Source organism: Homo sapiens, chromosome 4, assembly GCF_000001405.40.
Source record: "Homo sapiens chromosome 4, GRCh38.p14 Primary Assembly".
Lineage (NCBI taxonomy): Eukaryota > Metazoa > Chordata > Mammalia > Primates > Hominidae > Homo > Homo sapiens.
This window is the reverse complement of record NC_000004.12, coordinates 167,216,958-167,237,901: the sequence shown is the minus strand read 5'-3', so window position 1 is coordinate 167,237,901 and position 20,944 is coordinate 167,216,958. Positions and strand designations below refer to the sequence as shown.

At 34.7% G+C, this 20,944-nt stretch overlaps 1 protein-coding gene across 12 annotated transcripts in view; it reads left to right on the top strand.

Annotated features, from left to right (window-relative positions):
* Positions 2,957-20,944, top strand: part of SPOCK3 (SPARC (osteonectin), cwcv and kazal like domains proteoglycan 3) — a 501,562-nt gene continuing 483,574 nt past the window's right edge. For 8 of the 12 annotated variants that reach the window (NM_001251967.2, NM_001204355.2, NM_001204354.2 and 5 more), the window contains exons 1-2: positions 3,408-3,452; positions 3,729-3,917. In NM_001251967.2, the coding sequence (NP_001238896.1) occupies positions 3,729-3,917 (189 nt within the window). In that variant the 5' untranslated portion in view covers positions 3,408-3,452. Of the gene's footprint in view, positions 3,209-3,407; positions 3,453-3,475; positions 3,549-3,615; positions 3,918-20,944 lie in introns of those variants that run through there. The other 4 variants (XM_017008258.2, XM_011532018.2, NM_001204353.1 and 1 more) reach the window with 4 other exon arrangements.

Genomic DNA, 20,944 nt, shown 5'->3' with positions numbered 1-20,944 from the left:
TATGAAAGACCACACCGTGTGTGTGTGTGTGCACGTTGTGCACGCATTTAAATAAATGGAGTTATATGAAGGTCATGGATCCAACCTCAAAGGCGGTTAGAAATGGACCAGCTGTCATTATATATGCTTAGCATTTTTATTTCTAGAGCTGTGTCATGTCTGAAAATGAGGGTAAGGAAACCTTCAGAAGAAATACATTTAATTAAAATAATACCTATCAAAAATGTTCCTTACATCTTTCATGATAGATATTTGTGGACTGATTTACTGAACGTTTAGAGAGAAAGAACAACTAAAGGGACAAATACACAAATATGAAAGCAAAGTTCAATCTAGCAGTGGCCTCAGCATTGGCTTTTCATAATGTATCTAAACTATGTTTCTGCATCAGGTGGCAGAATGACAACAAAGGGGCTGGGAATCTGAAGCCCTGTGTCTTGCTCTGAGTTCCAATTTTGTAAAGCATGATCTGAAAAATAAAATCAAGTCCCAGCCCTGGCACCAGCGTCTCACTTTACCCACCTCATATGCTGCACCCCACTTTCTGCGTTTTTGGCTTCTCCAGTTTTTTAGACTGGCTCTCCATCTATCTGGGAAGCAGTCAGTGAAGTATTTCTTGTCTACTCACCTACCTTGACATACAAGGCTCCTGACTACTCTCTTCCAATATCTTACTGCCCACCTAATACTCTTCCCTTATTATTCTCTGCTGTGTTTTGCTCTCAGCAAGCTTTCAATGAATCCCCACTGAGGTGATAACTGATAACCAAGGTGTTAACTGAAGTGTGAATTCTCCTAGGATTATTTAAACCTTGAAAGCAGGCTGTTTGAGGACCAAAATATTGATATATAGAGAAACTGATAGAAACCTTTCCCTGTGATTAATAACATCACAACATCACACCTACTAGACTTTGACTCTCACTACCAACATGCCCACTTAGCCTAGACAATGGCAATGGCTTGGAAAGAGAAGCTTAAGGAGCTGTAGGAGCAGTCAGGTGACTGGACCACACCAGGCCAACACAAATACACTGTAGACAGGCTCACTCTGCCTCTTTTGACTTTAGAATTTTAAACTTGCAATTTGCTAGTAAATCCTACTCTATCTTCAGATCTGTAGTTTAAAACCCTATCAAAGGCATTTCTCCCAAGATGAATTCAACTGTCATTGTTTGTTTTCAACAAATTTCACAACTTGGAGACGTCCCTGTGGAGCTGCAGTATGGGAAGCTGCCAGTGAAAGCTAGATGTGAAAACATGCTCTGAACATTGGAGAGTCAGCCACAAAATAGACGTATTTGGGGGGGAAATGCTGTATAAACATAAATATATGTGCTTCCATAAATCTAAAGGTGACCATGTTGGCCTTAGATGGTGCCAGTTATTGAGCTAAAATGTATAGCAGATGCTGAAGGGGATGAGTGTTAGAGCATTATTCCTCATCAAGTATTTTGTAGCTAATAACAACTATCTTTTTAAAAGGTAAGTTACAAAGGTTAGAAGGTCATTTTTACTTTTAGAATTACTGACTTCTGCCAAGTATCAGTTTCTTGTAAGAAACAATTTCTGTGCTTTCCCTATTAGACTTAAATTTAGAAATAATGAGGTTTTAAAACATGATGAGATATTCTTATTAATAATAAAGTATTTCTTCAAATTTTGAGGAAGAGAGCTAAGGATGAGAGTGTGGGAGGTCAAAGGACCAGGGGTCAGGAAAAGGTGATAGTGGAGAATGGACCACCTACTATTGTCTTAATAAATTTACTAAACAAGAATTTAAATATGTAAACTACATGGTAATAACCCTCTGTGAACAGGCAAAAATAAATATCTTTGAAGAATTAGCACACATCTATATTCTTAAAGTTTTCTGACATTTGTTCGTGTCAATCAGGGCTCCCATGAATTGCAGTAGTATGTTCCGTGTTTTTCTCCACTAATTGCATTCATCACTGTAGAAATGGGGGGAATTGAGAAAAACATCTTTTTCTGAGTTAAAAATAGTAATAGAAATTTCTTTCCTATATAAATATTACACTTATATTTCCTACCATACATATTATACATTTATTTTGAAATATTACATTAAAAAAGGAAATTAACATTAAACATTGAGTTTGGTCGTTTTGTTAATATAGATTGCAAAATGTTAGACGAGATTGATATGGAAAATGTGTACTGCTGCTATTCGAATAGCTTCTGAAGTTTTGGAGGCTACAAGAAATGTTCAAAGGTCGTAGCTTTGGGAGATGTAGTTTTGGCTGAAATCTCTAATAATTCAAATAGAGATTCATAATGTTATTGCAGTCTATTGGCTTGCAGACATTTCTTGATTTATGTGTAATATTCACTTCACCTAAATTCTCTAAATATGAGAGATTCTCTGTATCAGATTTTCTCTACAAGGGGCTAATTACTGATTTCCTTCCAGTTTATTTAGAATATGTAGAAACGACATGGAAAGCCAAATATTTTGTCATAAATGGAAGTTTGGAATACAAAATTGGTGTTCGGGCTTCAAAACTGTCTTATTTTGCAGGAGGGAGACAGTAGGCTTTTAAAGTTTCCGATTCAGGTTCTACGTTCTAAAATAAAGCTGCCAGGGAGTTTTTATAAAGGGAAAAATGCAGCTACAGTATGTAGGAGATATAGGTGTTCTCAAACGCCCTACCTCGTTATGCTTCTGTCTCTCAAAACAAAACACACACACACACACACACACACACACACACACACAAAGGAAAAGAAAAAAAGAAACTGCAACCTTTAACATGAAAGTTTGCTGTCGGTAGTAATCCAGAAGCTCACAGCAAACTTTAAATTTTCTGAAATTAAACAGATCTCCCAAGACCTTGTGGATAGATGGCCTTTCTTTAGGGAGGAGCTGAGTTCAGGAGCTTTACAGGGTAGGAAGTCCAGGTATTCTTATTTATTAATGCATAAAGTTTTCCTCAGATCTTGTTTCTCACGTCTGCCTGACAACCCTGGAAATTGTGGAGCAGAGGCAACTGCGAGAGATAGTACACTTTGTGTTAAATCCAGGAGCAGAGAATGAGCAGGCTGTCTCGCGAACATGAGAACCTCTTCTGGAGGGGAGAGGTTACAAAGCAGATAAGGATTCCTAGGCTAGGAGCTACCTCGTCCTCTGGCTCCAGCCAAGCGTCCTATCCGGAGCCAACTGTAGCTGGGATCCAGCGAGAGGAAGGTGGGATAGGAGGAGGTGGAAGAGGAAAAAAACGGAGGTCGGGGAGGGAGGGGGAACGGAGGGGAGTAAGCTGGAGATCCGCGCGCGAAGGGAGGGTGGAGATGGGGGGAGCGCGCCGGGCGCAGGGAGCTGAGTGGACGGCTCGAGACGGCGGCGCGTGCAGCAGCTCCAGAAAGCAGCGAGTTGGCAGAGCAGGGCTGCATTTCCAGCAGGAGCTGCGAGCACAGTGCTGGCTCACAACAAGGTGATGTGCCAGGAAGCGGTTTTGTGCCCGCTCGGGCTGCTGCGGCTGGGGCTTGCTTCCTTATACCCACCTCTCCTCCTCTGGGTCTGCGTGTGTGTGAGTGCCCGGCTTTTGGGGGTAAAGCCTGCGGGGAGGGGACACGCTTGCCTCTGCTTGTCTCCTCCTCCCTCTACCCTCGTCGTTGCTAATGCATGTTTTCCAGGGTCGCTCCTGGCTTCGTACCCCTTATTTGACACTGACATGCCCCCCCACCCCCCGTTGTGTCTCCTCTCCCAGATGCTCAAGGTGTCAGCCGTACTGTGTGTGTGTGCAGCCGCTTGGTGCAGTCAGTCTCTCGCAGCTGCCGCGGCGGTGGCTGCAGCCGGGGGGCGGTCGGACGGCGGTAATTTTCTGGATGATAAACAATGGCTCACCACAATCTCTCAGTATGACAAGGAAGTCGGACAGTGGAACAAATTCCGAGACGTAAGTTCCGCGCACCCACATCCCCGGGCACACGCGCGCGCTGCTCCGAGGCGGGGGCCGCGGCCGCCGGATGTGGGTGGGGAGTGGGCTCCGTTTTCTGAGGAGAGGGGTTTAGGGAAACGCGGCGGCGCAGGGCTGCTGGAGAAGTTCACAGTTCCGCTGCCCCCTCCCAGCTGGTTCAAGGGCTTGTTTCTTGGATGCACAGGAGTTCAGGTCTCACCAGGTTCACACTCTTCCTCCCCCACCCTGCTCTCCCCTGTGCCCCCTCCCGGCCCACAAAGGTTACAAAGTGCTGGCTCTAACCTCTCAACTTTTGAATGGTGTTTCTGGCACTGGTAAACACAGCAGATGTGCCTTTGCGATGTATCGCTACTAAAGTAACTAGGATCGATCCTGTCACTAATGGTCCATTAAGGAATTTGAGGGAGGAGGTAGGAAGATGTAAGATTTATAAATGCCCGCTCTCCAAGGGTGGGAGGATGTTTGGCGGCACCAGTAAGGACTCGTTGAACGCTCCCGCTTACATAAAATTGTCGATCAGATTTGTGCTTCGACATGACTTTAATCTAGAACATCTTTGCAATGCATTTGATTATATTTTATTCCAAAATGAATCACTGCCTTGAACTCTGCGGGAAGAGGTTGCGAGGGCGGGAGGATTGCAGGTGACAGCGATAAAAGAGTTAAACCATAGACTCCCCTGGGGAGTTTTCAAAAGGGTTATTAAGAGGGAGCCAGGTTTCCACACTTGAAGCTAGTGGCCATGGCTTGCCAGTCATTTTTATTTTCCTCACCTGATCTGAATGGAGCCCAGTAAGAGCTGCTCACGTACAGAGCACGATACAACTGGAAGCCTTGAATTTGGTTGTCCCAGTGAGGAGGCCGCCCTGTTGGCTGAATACCGCCCCTAGCCCACCCTTTAAAACGCGGAAGGCCTGAACTGGAGCGAGAGTGGTTCCTAGACACATTGCCAATCCTTACCGTGACATTTGAGAGAATTTCTCGTGGAGTCCATCTGCAGTGCACTACGTGGAGATGAGTTAACTTCTTTCATCAGCTCCGACTCAGTCACCATTTAGGAAAATAAAAGGGAGCCTAGGCTAGCTTTCATCCTGCCTCCTCTAACCCATTCTCTCAGCCTCTCCATGAAGTAGCTGACAAGCCAAATCTAGCAGAGGGATTCCTGAAGAAACACAAATTTTTACTTTAAAATTAGGTTTAGCCATTTGATTGAGAATATTTAATGGAGAACCTTGCCTACATACTTCATGAACAAAGCTTAAGCATCATTTTATTGCTAAATAAATGCCCTTATAAAAGCATACCCGTTGCATATTTGTTTTAAGTTTACACCAATATTGAGTACAAGCAAAAAGGATAGCGAGTGAGATATTCCTAAACCTAAAGAAAATTTGTTTATCATGCCCTCATTTGGCAAAATCAAAAACAAAAACGAAAATTGAACACTTCATCAGTATTTGAACAGTGTTTGACATTATGACATTTCATTATTTAATGGCTGCTTTAAAATCTTCTAGAAATGAATTTTTGAAAGACCTCCCAACAATGGGATATATTTAGTAGGTAATACTGGTTGCATGCTGTTTTCTATTTGTTTTGGGTTTTTTTTTTTTTTAATAAAATCAACTACACAAGATTCCTCGCTGGGAGAATTGTAAGAGTATTACTATCTTCAATGAGAGCAGAGATAAAAGCTTTCTTCTCTAAAATGTATTTTAAATTTTGAATAACTTAGTATTCTCTTATTTTATTCAAATTACTTTATTAAATTATTGAGGGACTTGGACAGTTTGTGAATGTGTTTGACTTAAACTATTGAGACAAGCTGAGTTGCCTACTATAGAGCTAAATATGCTAGAATTTATGGAGTCAATTTCTATAGAGATGGAGATTTTATTGCTATATCATTCTCAGTTATTCTAGGATCTCAAGGAAAAAGTCCATCAAAATTGTACATAAATTTTAAAAAGGATTTACTGATACATTTTATGCAAATATCTGTTTTGAAGTATATGCAACACCTAAAAATAAATATTGATTTATTTGAAAAACTTTCATCAGGTTTTAGTATTACCATTTTAGTAAGACAGTTATGTTTTTGCAAAGATGACTTCTGGAGGGAATGGAGCGGATAAATGCCATCATTTTTTACCCTTGAACCACCTGTTGCTTATTATTAACATGATGAAAGGTATGCTGACAGTGTGGTTTCTCAAATAATAATTCAGAATGCATAATATATAATCCTTATCTAGACCATCCACCCCACTGCTATTTATGTATATTCTTTCCCTTTTGGGGAATCATTAGCTTAATAATCTTTTCTGTAGCTCTCAGGATGTTATTTTTCAGTTGGTTTTCAGCTGGAAGCACATGGCGATAAGGCATTACTTGAAATAATACTATACTGCATGAATCTACCTTTAAATGTTCTGCATGAGCATTCATATCTCAAATAATGATTTATGTACTCACTTTATATGAGGGCAAAGAAACATGGAATTCTGAACCTCTTATTTGAGAAACAATTTAACTGAAGTACTTTTGTGCTTTTTTCCCATAAAATATAATTAATTTTATTTATACAAAAGCCTTGGAAAGCATCAGCATAATTATTGCTTGGATTAATCCTTATGATTATTTTTTCTTCCGAAGTGACTGTTTTACATAATCAGCACTGTTTAACAAGTGACTCCTTAATGAAAGTTTGAACTGTTCTTTCTTTTGAAATACATTTTAAAAGTATCTTAAATAATATTTAAAAATACAATTTAGCATTATATTTTAATTGAATAATTTTAAAAATAAATGTTACTCTTTATATATTTGTAATATACGTATGTAAATATAATTGATTTACAATAAAGCTTTAGGAACAAAGAGCATGGATAGAGTTACGAGAGAGTAGGTGAGCATAAAAACTACTGCCGTTGAGGCTCATTTTCTTGATTTCCTCAATATAAATGCTAAAGAAGCAATGAAAGCAAAGACAAGCTTACAGTGAATAGGTATTAACACAGGAGAAACAAGCTTGCAATGAGTAGGTGTTAACACAGGAGAAACCTCAAGTATTTTTGACTGCTCTATGCTAGCAATGTCTGTTGAATAAAGTTTGTTACCTTTGTTGTCCTTTTGAAGGACGCTTGGAGTGTACGATGCTTAATGTTATAGACATAAAGAGCTTTCACTGTTTTGAAAATTATTAATTTATTTGGTTATTAGTATAAAAATTCTGATAAGGATTTTAATATCTATGTCTTAGGAAAGCATACAAGTTTCACTTAATCTAAAGATACAGAAAAGTCAACACATTTAAACATAAGTACAGTAGATAGAACCAGCATGCTTTACTTAGGTTATAATTATGTGATTTTGAAATAAAATAAAATAAGAACTCCCTCAACAGTGGTATATATTCAGTAGATATACTGGTTACATGCTGGTTTTTTTTTTTTTTTTTTTTGGTGGGGGGCTCTGTTGACTAGTGATAAAATTAAGTACACAAGATTCCTCAGTGGGAAAATTGTGGGGTACCATTACTTTCTCCCAGAGCAGGAGTAAAGGATTCATTCATCCCATTCTTGTGAATATATTAGGAGAATTGGAAATCAGCATCGTTATGAGGAAACTGAATTATTAGCTCGAGTGGCTTATGTATTGCATATTTCAAATATTTATATTTTATAGTTTAATTAAACCATACCCTTTATCATGTAATAAATGAGTATGGAATTTGGAACCAATGAATTACTTAGTAATGCATGGTATAATAACATTATCAAAATTATCTATTATTGATTTCACTGAAATACATAAATTAATTAGGAATGACAAAAAAAGATAAAATATGAGAAGCCCTCAAATATTGTATTTTGGAATCAATATAATAAAAACTTAGAAAAAAGAGGAATGATGGCCATGCTAATTTTTAAGTAACTCATATAATAAAAACAGGATTGTACCCTTTAATGGAAATTCAAATAGTTCTAGATTAAATTAAATTTGTTTTTCAATAAAAATACCTGGGGCTCATTCTGAACTTTTTGTTTTAAGGAATGGTGACCACTAGTGTTATAGAAACCATAATCAACTTCAGTTTACATTTATTCCTTAAGTGATGTTTAATATCCTTTGGGTATATTTAACGTAATAATAAAGTTCTACAGTTTAACTTTACAGATTTAACCTTAATGTAAGCTAAAGAACATGTAGAATATTGAGAAAATGTAAAATACAGGCTGACATGTCTCAGAGGCACTCAAATTATAAGTTGACTTTTAAAAAATATCTGATTTGTGGGTGTTGAATAGTAAGCAGAACATTCTTAATTTGTTTTTTCTTTTTATTTGCCTTTTTCATCTAAGGTGAGGTTCTTAAGTGCACAGATTATTTAAGAGATAATGGATGATGGTGTGGGATATTTCCTGGAACTTAGTGGGCTACAGAGGGGTAAAGATTCTCGAGGGTCTATCAACTTCTACTGTTGTTAGAAAGTAAATACAACAATTTGTTTCTATGTCTACTCCAAATAAAGTATTCTATGGCTCTACAGGCCATTAAAATTCAAACAATGAGAATCTTTAAGGAATGCTCTCTCAGTACTTTGTTTAGGTTTATGATGTGCCTTGATTATATTTCTTGAGTTACAGGCATACTCTTAGCATTGAGGGATCCTCCTTTCTGGCAACAAAGTTGTGCTATTATACTTTTCAACAATATGTATCAAAAATAAAATTAAAGATTTATTTGTAATTTGGATATATTTAATAAAGTGAACTACTGTTCTCTCTGTTTAAGAATGCTTTCTCAATAATGGATATCCAATTCTTATGAAAATGTACATTTTCAGTGTTTCTCACTATGAAACAACATTTGTAACTGTGGTAATAATTACCTATATTTCACTGTAGTTGAGAACATAGGCATTTCTTGGGAATTCTTCACAGTTAATTGAGTGCATTATCATGAGTGTTTTTCTCTCTTTCTTTTGCTTTTTTGGTGATTACAGGCACTGGGTTTAGTTCTTAAAAGCTTGTGAATATAGTGTATATATTTGCAGATCAGAGCTGGTGAAGACTGTAGCATGCAGTAATATTTTTATTGGACTATTATTCATATTGTTTAAATCATGGGGAGATTTAATGGAGAGAGGCAACTGACCTCTTAAGAGAAGCAATAGGCAATCTTTGATGATTCTGGGACCAGTGAGTAACCACAGCAGCAAAGGGCTAGGCTCTGGCAGCATCCTGACTCTTGTTTTTGTCATCAGGATCCTAGTTAAGCCGTGATCACAGCACAAACTCCACACTCCTATTTTTTAAACCTGCTACTACAACCACTATCCTGCTTGCCAGTCAGGATTTAAGTTTGGTTTTGTCATCAGGTTATCACATGACGAAGGAAGGCAGGTCAGAGAATGTCCACTGATCTGCTTGTTTCTGAAGGGAATCTTAGCTAGAGCTGGTATCACATTATCAGACTCTGTCAGGAGGTATGAATTGATCACAAAACTTTACTCGATTTTCTATGTGTTTATCCTAACAGAAATTAAAGAGAAGCAAGCAATACTTTTAACCCTCTAGCTTTCATAACTTCCAGTCAATGACTAGAAAAGTGTAACTAAGTGTAAAAGTGTAAGTAAGAGAAACAAATTACTCTATGTATGTTGTATATGTTTATATGTATTTATGTGCGTAGATTCTTGCATAAATGTATATCTACATATATGTGTTATGTGTGTATGTCAAGTTGACAACAGATTAATCTGAAAACAGAGGCAATTATATATTGTGCTATAGGTTTTTTGTATGCACCAGATATGTGTATAGTTATTACACATAACATGTTGAGTAGAAAGCCAACATCCATCTAGCCACCCCCAAAATGTTAAGACATGTTAGGTTTCTTTATTTATTTCTTTTCTTTTCCTGGTTAGGTTTTCTGCATCTTATAACTTGAGATGATTTCATTTACTGTTACATGTGTGGACACAGTGTGCTTTTCTGTTTCTTACAGCTAGTCAGCTTGCTTGGGATTATATATTTAAACTTTTTATCTAGATATACAAAAGGAACATCGTGTACCACTATAGAGCATTTATGTTGCTACTCTGACAGTAAGACTTTGGGGTTGGATGCTTTTAGATCTTATGATTGTGACTCAGAGTGACATTTTATGTTCTCACACAACTTTAGTTTTCATGATCTGGGTCATAATTTTATTTCATTTTATGTACTTATTTTTAAAGGCTGATCTTTGACTTCTGTAAATACTATCCAAGTCCTGTAAGCTCCTGGAGTATTTATATGTCTTTTTTCATTTATGAAAATCATTTCATCTTTTCTATTCTTTCTACCTCTTCTAGTTTACAGATTTGGACACCCCATTAGACTGTGAACTCCCTACAGCTACAGATTGTAGTCTCCCTTCCTCTCCATGATCCTACAACTCACCTAGCATTACCACAATAATTGTCTCAGAGTTATCACTAGAAAATACTTACTAAATGAGGTGACATTATATTCAAAATACATTGCCAATTGAAAAATCCTTACCTAAAGGTTTTTTAGAGCTGTGTTGTCTTTTATTGGCCAGTTCAATTTCTGGCCACCTCAAGCCCAGTTTTGTAATTTAAATAAAAATTCAATTTTTATAAAATATAAAGTTATAAGTATTGAACCACTTTAGTCCTATAAGTTCCAAAACTTGCCAAAATAGAAATGCCGTGTCTAAGCTGTCGTGTCCAGTTTTAGAATGGTCAACAGCAGATGACAATGACATGCATCATGGTGCTCCCTTGGCCAATTAGTTCAATTCTTTTTTCCACAGTTCCTCTTCAACAACATAATTGTGTTGCTCTAACATCTTTAAATATTTTTGCTGCCTAATAGGTAATATCAAGCACTAGCATCTTCCCTTTCTTCTTCAACTACTGAACTTCAATTAATGGTTATATAGGTAAATCCAGATACTTTACTGACAGTTCAGATTTATTTCTTTCTCTTCCACCTCACTTACAACTGCCAATGCGTTGGTTAGAGAGAGGTTAAGTTCCTGCAGAAAGGAGACCCTGAATCAGAGTACCCGAGTAACGATAGAATTCTCTTTTGCAAGCATGAGACCATCAAGAAACGGGTGTCCAGGCCTGGGCTTTCAGGGTTACTCCCTCAAGCAAGCTTCTCTATTAATGGCCATTTCCTATCTAACAGGAGGCGTTTAAGAGAAAATCTAGGACAATCACCTTGTCCTAGAATTCACCTGAAAGTCATCACACATTACTTCTACTTGTATCCCACAGGCCTGAACTTGGTTACATGTCAACACCCAGCTACAAGGGATACTGGGAAATTTAATCTTTAATGGGAATGATCAGCACTAAAAGAAAGCAAGCGATACTCAATACTCGGAGAAAATGTTGGTAACTACGGTATCTGGTTATGCTCTTTCAATCATCTAAATATCTATTGAAAATATTCTCAGTCTCCATCCCCGTGTCCTCTGATGGGAATGTTTTTTATCATTGCCTGTCAGTTGTTTGCCTCCCTAATCAATCTTTCTTCCAAATTCCATATTATCCCAGTATCCTCTTAGCCATGATGGACATGCTTGAGTAGTGCTTGCTGGGCCAAAACTATGACACCTAGTACCTACTGTTCTAGATGTAGGAGTTTGGTAGTAAGTAGTAGAGTGCTAATTTCTAAAAGGAAATTTTGAAGGTCAAAACCAAAGCAGAGTGTCCAAAAAGCTACCATGTTAAGGAGAGACTGAATCTACTTACCAATGCTGTTTTCCTTTAGTGAAATCATTTAGCATGACTTCTGTGAAATCTTTTTGAGCTGTAGAGCTTTGGTCATAGGAATGGAATTCCTTGTGTTAAGGCATTAATGGTGATTGGTGGGCAAGAATCAGAATTTACTTCTCACATCTCTTAGTTAAAGAACAGGATATTTTCTTGCTGTTACTGGTGTATTTCCTCCGATGCAGAAAAAGGAAAGTACCACTAACAACATTTTGCTGAAATAATACTAGAAGTGACACCCTTGCCAGGTTCATGCAGCTCTTAGGCTTGAAAGCAAAGAAAACAATCTTTTTGGTTCTAGTATCTCTGGGACAGTTAGGAAATAAAAACTGCAGCAAATCAGATTTGCCAGAATTCCCATACAGGCTTTACTCTTTAGATTTTTTTTTTTCTTAACATGCGAGATTACTGGCAATTAGAATGCCTGAACTTCTTAACTGAATCATAAACAGAGATGGTGAGTTGCACTGTCTATCAGGTTTTGTTTTTTGGAGAGATCCTTGAGTTTTTCCATCTTCATACTTGCTACAGAAAAACGTTCCTATTTATTTATCATTTTTCATATATATTCATGGCATGATTATATTACAAGGGATGATTATATAATTTTGCTTAATATGTTACACATAATTAATTTAATAATAGTAATAATATAGTATACAAATATGTAAGGTAAAAGGGTAGGTAAAAAGTCTTCATAAAGTTATTTTTCCCTTGCAGTCATGTCATTTCTCCCAAAGGATTGATGCTTTCCCTAATATTCTTCCACCAGAAGTCATCTGGCCTTCGATTTTCTGCTCACAAGCTGTTTCCTTTATCGAGGAAATAATGGTCTGAATCAGAAATGTTGTCTCCCACCTCCAAATATATATTGCAGATTTTTCTATTTGTAAATTAAGAATAATGGCCTAATAAAAATTTTTATTCCCTCCTTCAGAAATAGCACTATTATATTTCATTAGTTCATTTATTGGTTTTAAAAGCATCATGTTGAATAAATAATAATAATCTTAATCTGTGTGAGGTAGATTCTTCCTGTTTTTATATGTGGCTTGTATATTTTGGAAACTTTTAAGCCATATTATCACTCTTGTTGTAAAACAGAGATAATTAAATTCAGTATTCTGTTTTCATAACTGTTTGATTAGAATAGTTATTGATTATTTAAATTATGCTATTTCAGTATAGAAAAGAAAGTTTTGGATGGGTGTGGTGGCTCATGCCTGTAATCCCAGCACTTTGGGAGGCCAAGGTGGGCAGATCTTGAGGTCAGCAGATCGAGACCATCCTGGCCAACATGGTGAAATCCCATCTCTCCTAAATACACAAAAATTAGCTGAGTGTGGTGGCACGTGCCTGTAATCCCAGCTACTCGCTACTCGGGAGGCTGAGGCAAGAGAATCGCTTGAACCAGGGAGTCAGAGGTTGCAGTGAGCTGAGATCATGTGCCTGCACTCCAGCCTGGCAATAGAGCAAGACTCAGTCTTAAAAAAAAACAACAAAGTTTAAGTACTTTTTTATTGCATTTATCTGTATTATATATCTTTTTTGTTAAGTTTGAACATTTGGTAGCTTGGTTTACTGTTGATTAGGAAATTAATTAGGAAAAAACTTACATTTGGTATACATGGCTATTTTAAACAATCAAATAACGAGTGGCATATACAAAAATTGCTTCTTTTTCCACAGCATTCTCTTAAGCTTTTTTATGTGGATTTAGAATGAACTATATGTTAATGTTTCTATTTTCAGATTGTTATAGCATTTCATCAGTAAAATATCCCACATCTTTATCTACATTTTTGAATATGCAAGGACAAATAAACTCTATTTTAACTTTTCCATACTATTTTTTCATGGATTCCTCTTTTTGTCCTATTTTATTCTCTGAAAATTCCAGCTAACTATGGTAATTAAGTTTAAACACAATGTCTTTAATAGTGCACTAAACATGTATATAGTAAGCAAGATGACAAAGATAATAAAAATGAAAAAATATGTGTTAGAAAACTATGATGTCAGAATTTATAAATACAACTTTATTAGATATTTGATGGAAATAATTTTAAAATCTTTTAATTTAATTAATGGCTGTTTTCTAACCAAATTACTTTTAAAAATAAGTTAAATCCACAAATAGTCTGTATTTTATATATGAATAGGGTACTCAAAATTTGACTCACTATGGCTGTAGAGAATGATGATGGTAAAAATGCACTCACCCAAAATATCAAATGAGGTAAGTACTAAAAATTTTATAATAAAAATACGACAGACTCTTCCTTGTCTAGAAATTGATAATAATATAATAATAACAAGCACTTTAATACAGCATATCACATGCAAGGAGTATTATAAGTTCACTTTTAATTTAATTTTTTAGGAATAAGGACTGGCTATATTGCCCAAGCTGGTCTCGAACTCCTAGGCTCAAGTGATCTTCCTACCTTGGCCTCCTCAAGTGCTGGGATTACAGGCATGATTCACTGTGCCTGACTAGTTTTTAAAAATGTATTAATTAGTAATATCCCCATATGGAATGTGCAACTGTTAATCCATTGTGCAGCTGAGGAAACTCAGGGCCAAGATCACACAGCTAGTATCAGTCAGGGCTCTCTCCAGTAGTAGAATTTTGGCTCTAAAGACTTTGTCCTTAAACACAGAAGAGTAATGCTTCTTCATCTGTTAATGCTGTTTTGGGTCTGTGTTATATGCTAGGCACTTTAAATATATTATCCCACTTTAATATATATCTCTCTCTATATATAATATAATATCTCCCTCTATAAATATATATTTATATATAAACATAATATACATAAACATATATAAATATATATGCTTATATATGATTATTCATATTTATAAATGAATATATAAATACATATTTATAAATGAATATATACATATATTTATAAATGAATATAAAATATATTATATATTATATATTCACATATAAAATATACATTATTCATATATAAAATATATATTATATATTCATATATAAAATATATATTCATATATAAAATATATATTCATATATAAAATATATATTATATATTCATATATAAAATATATATTCATATATAAAATATATATTCATATATAAAATATATATTCATATATAAAATATAATATATTATATATTCATATATAAAATATATATTCATATATAAAATATAATATATATTCATATAAAATATGTATAATATATATTATATGTTTACATATTTATATATTCATATATAAACATATCTATGTTTATATATTTATATATTCATATATCAATATATATCTATGTTTATATATTTATATATTCACATATCAATATATATCTATGTTTATATATTTATATATTCATATATCAATATATATCTATGTTTATATATTTATATATTCATATATCAATATATATCTATGTTTATATATTTATATATTCATATATCAATATATATCTATGTTTATATGTTTATATATTCATATATAAATATATATCTATGTTTATATATTTATATATGAATATATAATATATATCTATGTTTATATATAAATATATAACATATGTGTATATATTATATATTCATATATGAATCTATAACATGTATATATATTATATATTCATATATGAATCTATAACATACATGTTATATATTATATATTCATATATTCATATGTAATATATATGTTTATATATAAATCTATATAATTTTTAATTGTAAAAAGCACGACATAAAATTTACTATATTAGCCATTTTTAAGTGTATAATTCAGTAGTGTCAAGTATATTCACATTGTTTTGCAACCAGTCTCCAGAACTTTTTCATTGCAGAACTGAAACTTTATACTCATTTAACCACATCCCATTTTGCCCTTCCTGCAGCCCCTGGTAACAACCATTCTACTTTTTGTTTCTACGAATTTGACTACTTTAGATATATAGGTGGAACAACAGTATTTGTCTATTTGTGACTGGCTTTTGTTAGCATAACATCCTCAAGTTTCATCCATGTTGTGGCATGTGACAGGGTTTCCTTTTTCTTAAAAGACTGAATAATATTCCATTGTATGTATATTTTACATTTGTCCACTTATCTGTCAATAAAAAACCTTGGGTTACTTCTACCTCTTTGCTATTGTAAATAATGCTGCTATGAACATAGGTATGCAAATATTTCTTCAAGATCCTGCTTTCAGTTATTTGGATATATACTCAGAAGTGGAATTGCTGGGTCATCTGATAATTTTGTTTTTAATTTTTTTAGGAACTGCCATACTGTTTTCCGTGGTGGTTACGCTGTTTTACAGTCCTACTCACAATGGATAAGGGTTCCAATTTTTTTGCACCCTTGCTAACACTTGTTAATTTACATTTTGTTGTTGTTGTTGTTAGTAGCCATCTGAATGGATGTGAGTTGATATTGTGGTTTTGATTTGCATTGCCCTAATGATTAGAAATGTTGAGCATATTTTCATATAATTGTTAGCCACTTGTACAGCATTTCTGAAGAAATGTCTGCTCAAGTCCTTTACCCATTTTTAATTGGGTTACATGTTTTCCTTTTTGGTAAAATCTTTTAACAATCATAAAAGTAGAGATTATTAATCTTCTTTCACAAATAAAGTGACTCAGTATCAGCAAGCTTAATCAACCTGCTCAAAATCAGTGAAGTTTGAAACGACTTTCTAACTCTAAAGACCATGTTTTTTTAAAATTAACAGTTGACCACTTTAAAACAGTTACTACAGACAGCTCAAATTGCTTTTTTTGTTGTATTATATTATATTATTTATTTTTTAAGAGACAGCAATTTGCTCTGTTGCCCAGGCTTCAGTGCAGTGGTGTCATCATAGCTCACTGCAGCGGGAAACTCCTGGGCTCAAGTGATCCTCCCACTTTCGCTTCTCAAGTAGCTGGGACTACAGGCATGTACCACCATGTGTGGCTAATTTTTTTTTTTTTAATTTTTTGTAGAGACTGGGGTTTCACTTTGTTGCCTAGGCTGGTCTCAAACTCTTAGGCTCAAGCCATCCTCCCGCCTCAGCCTCCCAGAGTGTTGGCGTTACAGGTGTGTCACATTGTGCCTGGCTTGGTTTTCTATCTTTTGACATAAAGTTGGTCCTTTTAAACGGTCACATTGACTGTCTATTTTCTTACCTGCTAGACCAAGGAATTGATTAAGGTTTGCAATTTGTATTAGAATTTATTGTCCTTTATACAGAATCACCATGATCTTGCTATAATTTGATCAGTATATCTTGAAGCTGCAGTAGGAAACTTCTAGTTGCCTGTCCTTCATTAGTCTTACAAATGTCAGTAGTTTCAAATCACATACTGTTCAAATAGTAATGTTTATCCCTACAGAGGTACTATATTTGGCAACAGCATATTACTGGCATTTTTATTACTGACCTTTTTTGATATCAAAGTGCAGGTCTGAATATCTTATGTGGTCAGAAATAGCTGTTAAAAGAAATACTAGGCTGGGTGGGATGGCTCACGCCTGTTAATTCCAGAACTTCCAGAGGCCAAGGTGGGAGGATGACTTGTGGCCAGGAGTTTGAGACCAGCCTGAGCAAAAAAGCCAGACCTCATCTCAGCAAAAATGAAAAAAAAAAAAAAATTAGCTGTGTGTGGTGGCACATGCCTATTGTCCCAGCTATTCAAGAGGCTGAGGTGGGAGGATTGCTTGATCCAGGAGGTAGAGGCTGCAGTGAGCCGTGATCACACCACTGCACTGCAGCCTGGATGGCACAGTGAGATCCTGTCTCAAAAAAAAAAAAAAAAAAGTTCTTACAGTATCTGTTGTTTGGATTAGAAGTTTAACATCTTCAGAAGCTGTTTTTTAAGTGTTACTGTGCCTAATTTTTAATTTCTACAGTTGTGCCACCACCCCCTCCTTTTCTTGGCTGAAGAGAATTTGACTTCTTCCTATTATCAAATTATGTAAAATGGAAAAAGGAATTATTTTCTTTAATTAAATTCTAGGATTCACAACTTACTATCATACGTAATCAACATACATATCATTTGTAATACAACATAAATGTAACCATTGTTGACTGGGTTCTGAGAAAACCAAGCAATCTCTGTCCTAGTAGAAAACATAGTTTTCTGTTTTCCATGTTGAATATCAAAGAGAGATGTAATGTTATTGACTTAAAAAAATGAAATCCTATCATATATAAGATAGGTTGGAATATATGTAAGTTTTTAAGAATATTTTGTTGTCTACATATATTTTGAAGTCCTCTACGTCTAGAATTTCATTTAAGATATTATGAACAATAACACTGAACATGGGTTCTGTTTTGGAGATTTTAGCAAAAAAGCAAAATTAATTTGCTGCTACACTGAAGAAAATATAAATTTGAGTAAATTAAAATTCAATGATTTCTGTAATTTATTTTTAAATTACAGAGAACTTAATGCCAAATTTTATACTAAGTATGTGAAATAAATGGTTATATGGAATATTCTGTAACGAAAATTAAAATAAATCTTTCAGTCAACTTGAAATCTTTATGTTGAGTGTTCTAGATAATTTTGTGAGTTCTTTATTCTTAGCATAAGTAAAAGCTCATTTAACAGGAATGAGAAAGGAACCAAAAATGCCAAAACTCAATCTAATTAATTGTCTTCTGATATGTAAAACATTGCAAGACATTGTGCGCCTGAATACTGGTAAAACATTAGATATACCTCCTAAAAATAGTAATTTGATAGTCCGTTAATCACAGCTCACTTTTGCTTTTCTATTACCAAACTACTTTGTGACTTTCAAAATATTTACATAGGGTACAATAGGCAAGATACTCTGAAATACGAGCTTGCTAATTGCCTTGGCACATGGTATTAGCATCTGCTGAGAATCGGTTTTAGAATATCAAGACAATATTTATAGCCTTTCATGGCATACAGTATAGTGTGAAATTATAGACAACCTCCTAGTCTTCCAGTAAGGCTGCCTGAGGTGCCCTTGGCAACATCTGATATTCTCCTCGGATGTCCCTGAGGCAGTCAGATTCATCTAAAATGAACAATCCCTGAGGCAAAACTTTTCTAGAACATTGTATCAACAGCATTAACCTAGTATTACCTGAGACATTTTTCCTTGACATAAAATATATTTTTTTGGAGTTGAGATGTTATACACTTTATAGTTTTAAGAACTATTGTACTTACTGAAACTGTGAATTAAAGGCACACTCCACACTGATAACTAGGGAAGTGCTAGTTTGGAAGCTGTGAAATTTGAAAGTAACTCTAGGCAAAGGAGCATTCGTACATAGACCACACACTTAGTACATTATCCTTGGAATTTCTTTTTGATTAAATATGCTAACTTTCTTTGCTAATGTTATTGTCATTTAAAATTGTTTATTTCAGAATTTAAAGTTTTTTTGTCTTTCGTTTACATATTTTTCTAGATAAAAATTTTTTAAAATGGGAAGGTGGTCTATGGGGAATGACATGTTTAATTCAGATAACAAATTAGTGGTCAAGATAGGAAAAAATATCCCACATTTGTTTTTAGGGACTAAAATATATTAAAAACTTTTTAAATGTATACCATGAACCAAGTTTTGAATAAGTTTGAGAAGCATAGGCAGTTTTTAGGTCAGTGAATGAGATCTGGACATCTAATTTCAGAACTGCTTTGTTTGCTTTGAGTCACTGAAAGCTACCTGGCTTTGCTACAAGAAGTCTTATGTTTATTCTTGGGAGGAGTGCCTCTTTATTGAATATGCTGTTTGCTCTAATGTGTAGGTTCTAGAGGATCTTTGGCATCAGCCTCAAAGGTGACAAAAGCACCCCTGGTGCTAGTTGCTACTCTTGAACTAGGATCAGAAGTCAAGTAAAACGTCAAAACATCATCTGAGGCCAAGTTAATGTTTACTGGGGATCTCAGACACTTACTTTGCTATTAACACACGATTATTTTTTAGCTAAGGGCAGTTCCCTGACTTCTAATTGTTCAGCCTGTGTGCCCCTGAATAGCTTTTAAGTGCTATTCAGAAATGTGCCATGTTAGAAACATAAGAAAGCTTGTTCTTGTAGCAGTAGTTCTTGTAAGTGGTAGGTAGTTGCGTGATTTAGGAATTGTAATTAAAAAAAGTTTGTTCTTAGTTATTGGACTTTCATAACTTAATTTTCACCTTTTTATTTTTGGACTATACTGTGATGTTTCTGATTTGTGTTTGTTGTTTGCTAAAACCCTTTGGTTTGTGGGTTTAACTTTTTTTTTTTACTTTAATGAAACTGTATATTTAAATAACTTCCTCCTAGATGGCCTAATAAAAAATCCATAGTAATTTTTATAGCAATGTTGCAATATTTATATCATGTATAGCCATTTAGTATGTGAAAATATGTATTTCAGATTGAGTTTTAAGTTGGGCACATGTTATATTATCCACCACCAAGTTTCTTTCTTAAATAAATATTGGCTAACTCACCTAATAATCAAAATAAGCTGTGTAAAGGACATATTAATAGAATTTTGTATGTTATACGAATTTGCAGTAGCATATTTTTTAGGTTTTTGAAATATTTTCATATACAGTCTTCTCTCAGTATCCATGGGGAATTGGTTCCAGGACACCCCCACCAGGAGAGATACCAAAATCCATGGATCCTCAAGTCCCTTATATAACACAATGTAGTATTTGCATGTAACCTACACTCATTCTCCAATACACTTTAAATTACCTCTAGAGTACTTATAATACCTTATACAATATAAATGCTATGTAAATAGTTGCTTTACTGTATTTTTTAGGAAAAAATACCAAGAAACAACAAAAAAAAACATCTGTACATGTTCAGTAGAGAGGCAACCATCCATTCTTTTTTTCCTCGGTATTTTCAGCCTGTGGTTGGTTGAATGCATGGACGTGAAATTCATGGATACAGAGGGTCAACTGTATTACAATTTTTAACTGAAATAACCTTGTAAATAAAATTGTCCAACTTGTTAAGGATATTCAAATTATTATTTAACAAACTTTTGTTTAATTCTTTTTAAAGTTTACATTCATTAATAAAAGGCAAATAAAGTAGCCACATAAATTTTTTTTCACCGTGTTTAACAAATTGTTTTTTGTTCTTTAACAAAGCCATTGGATAAGGCAATTTGTACATGTGTTTAGTTTGGCAATGTAGTTTATCTCTAGTCTCTGATCTTATTTATATTTATTTTAGGATTTC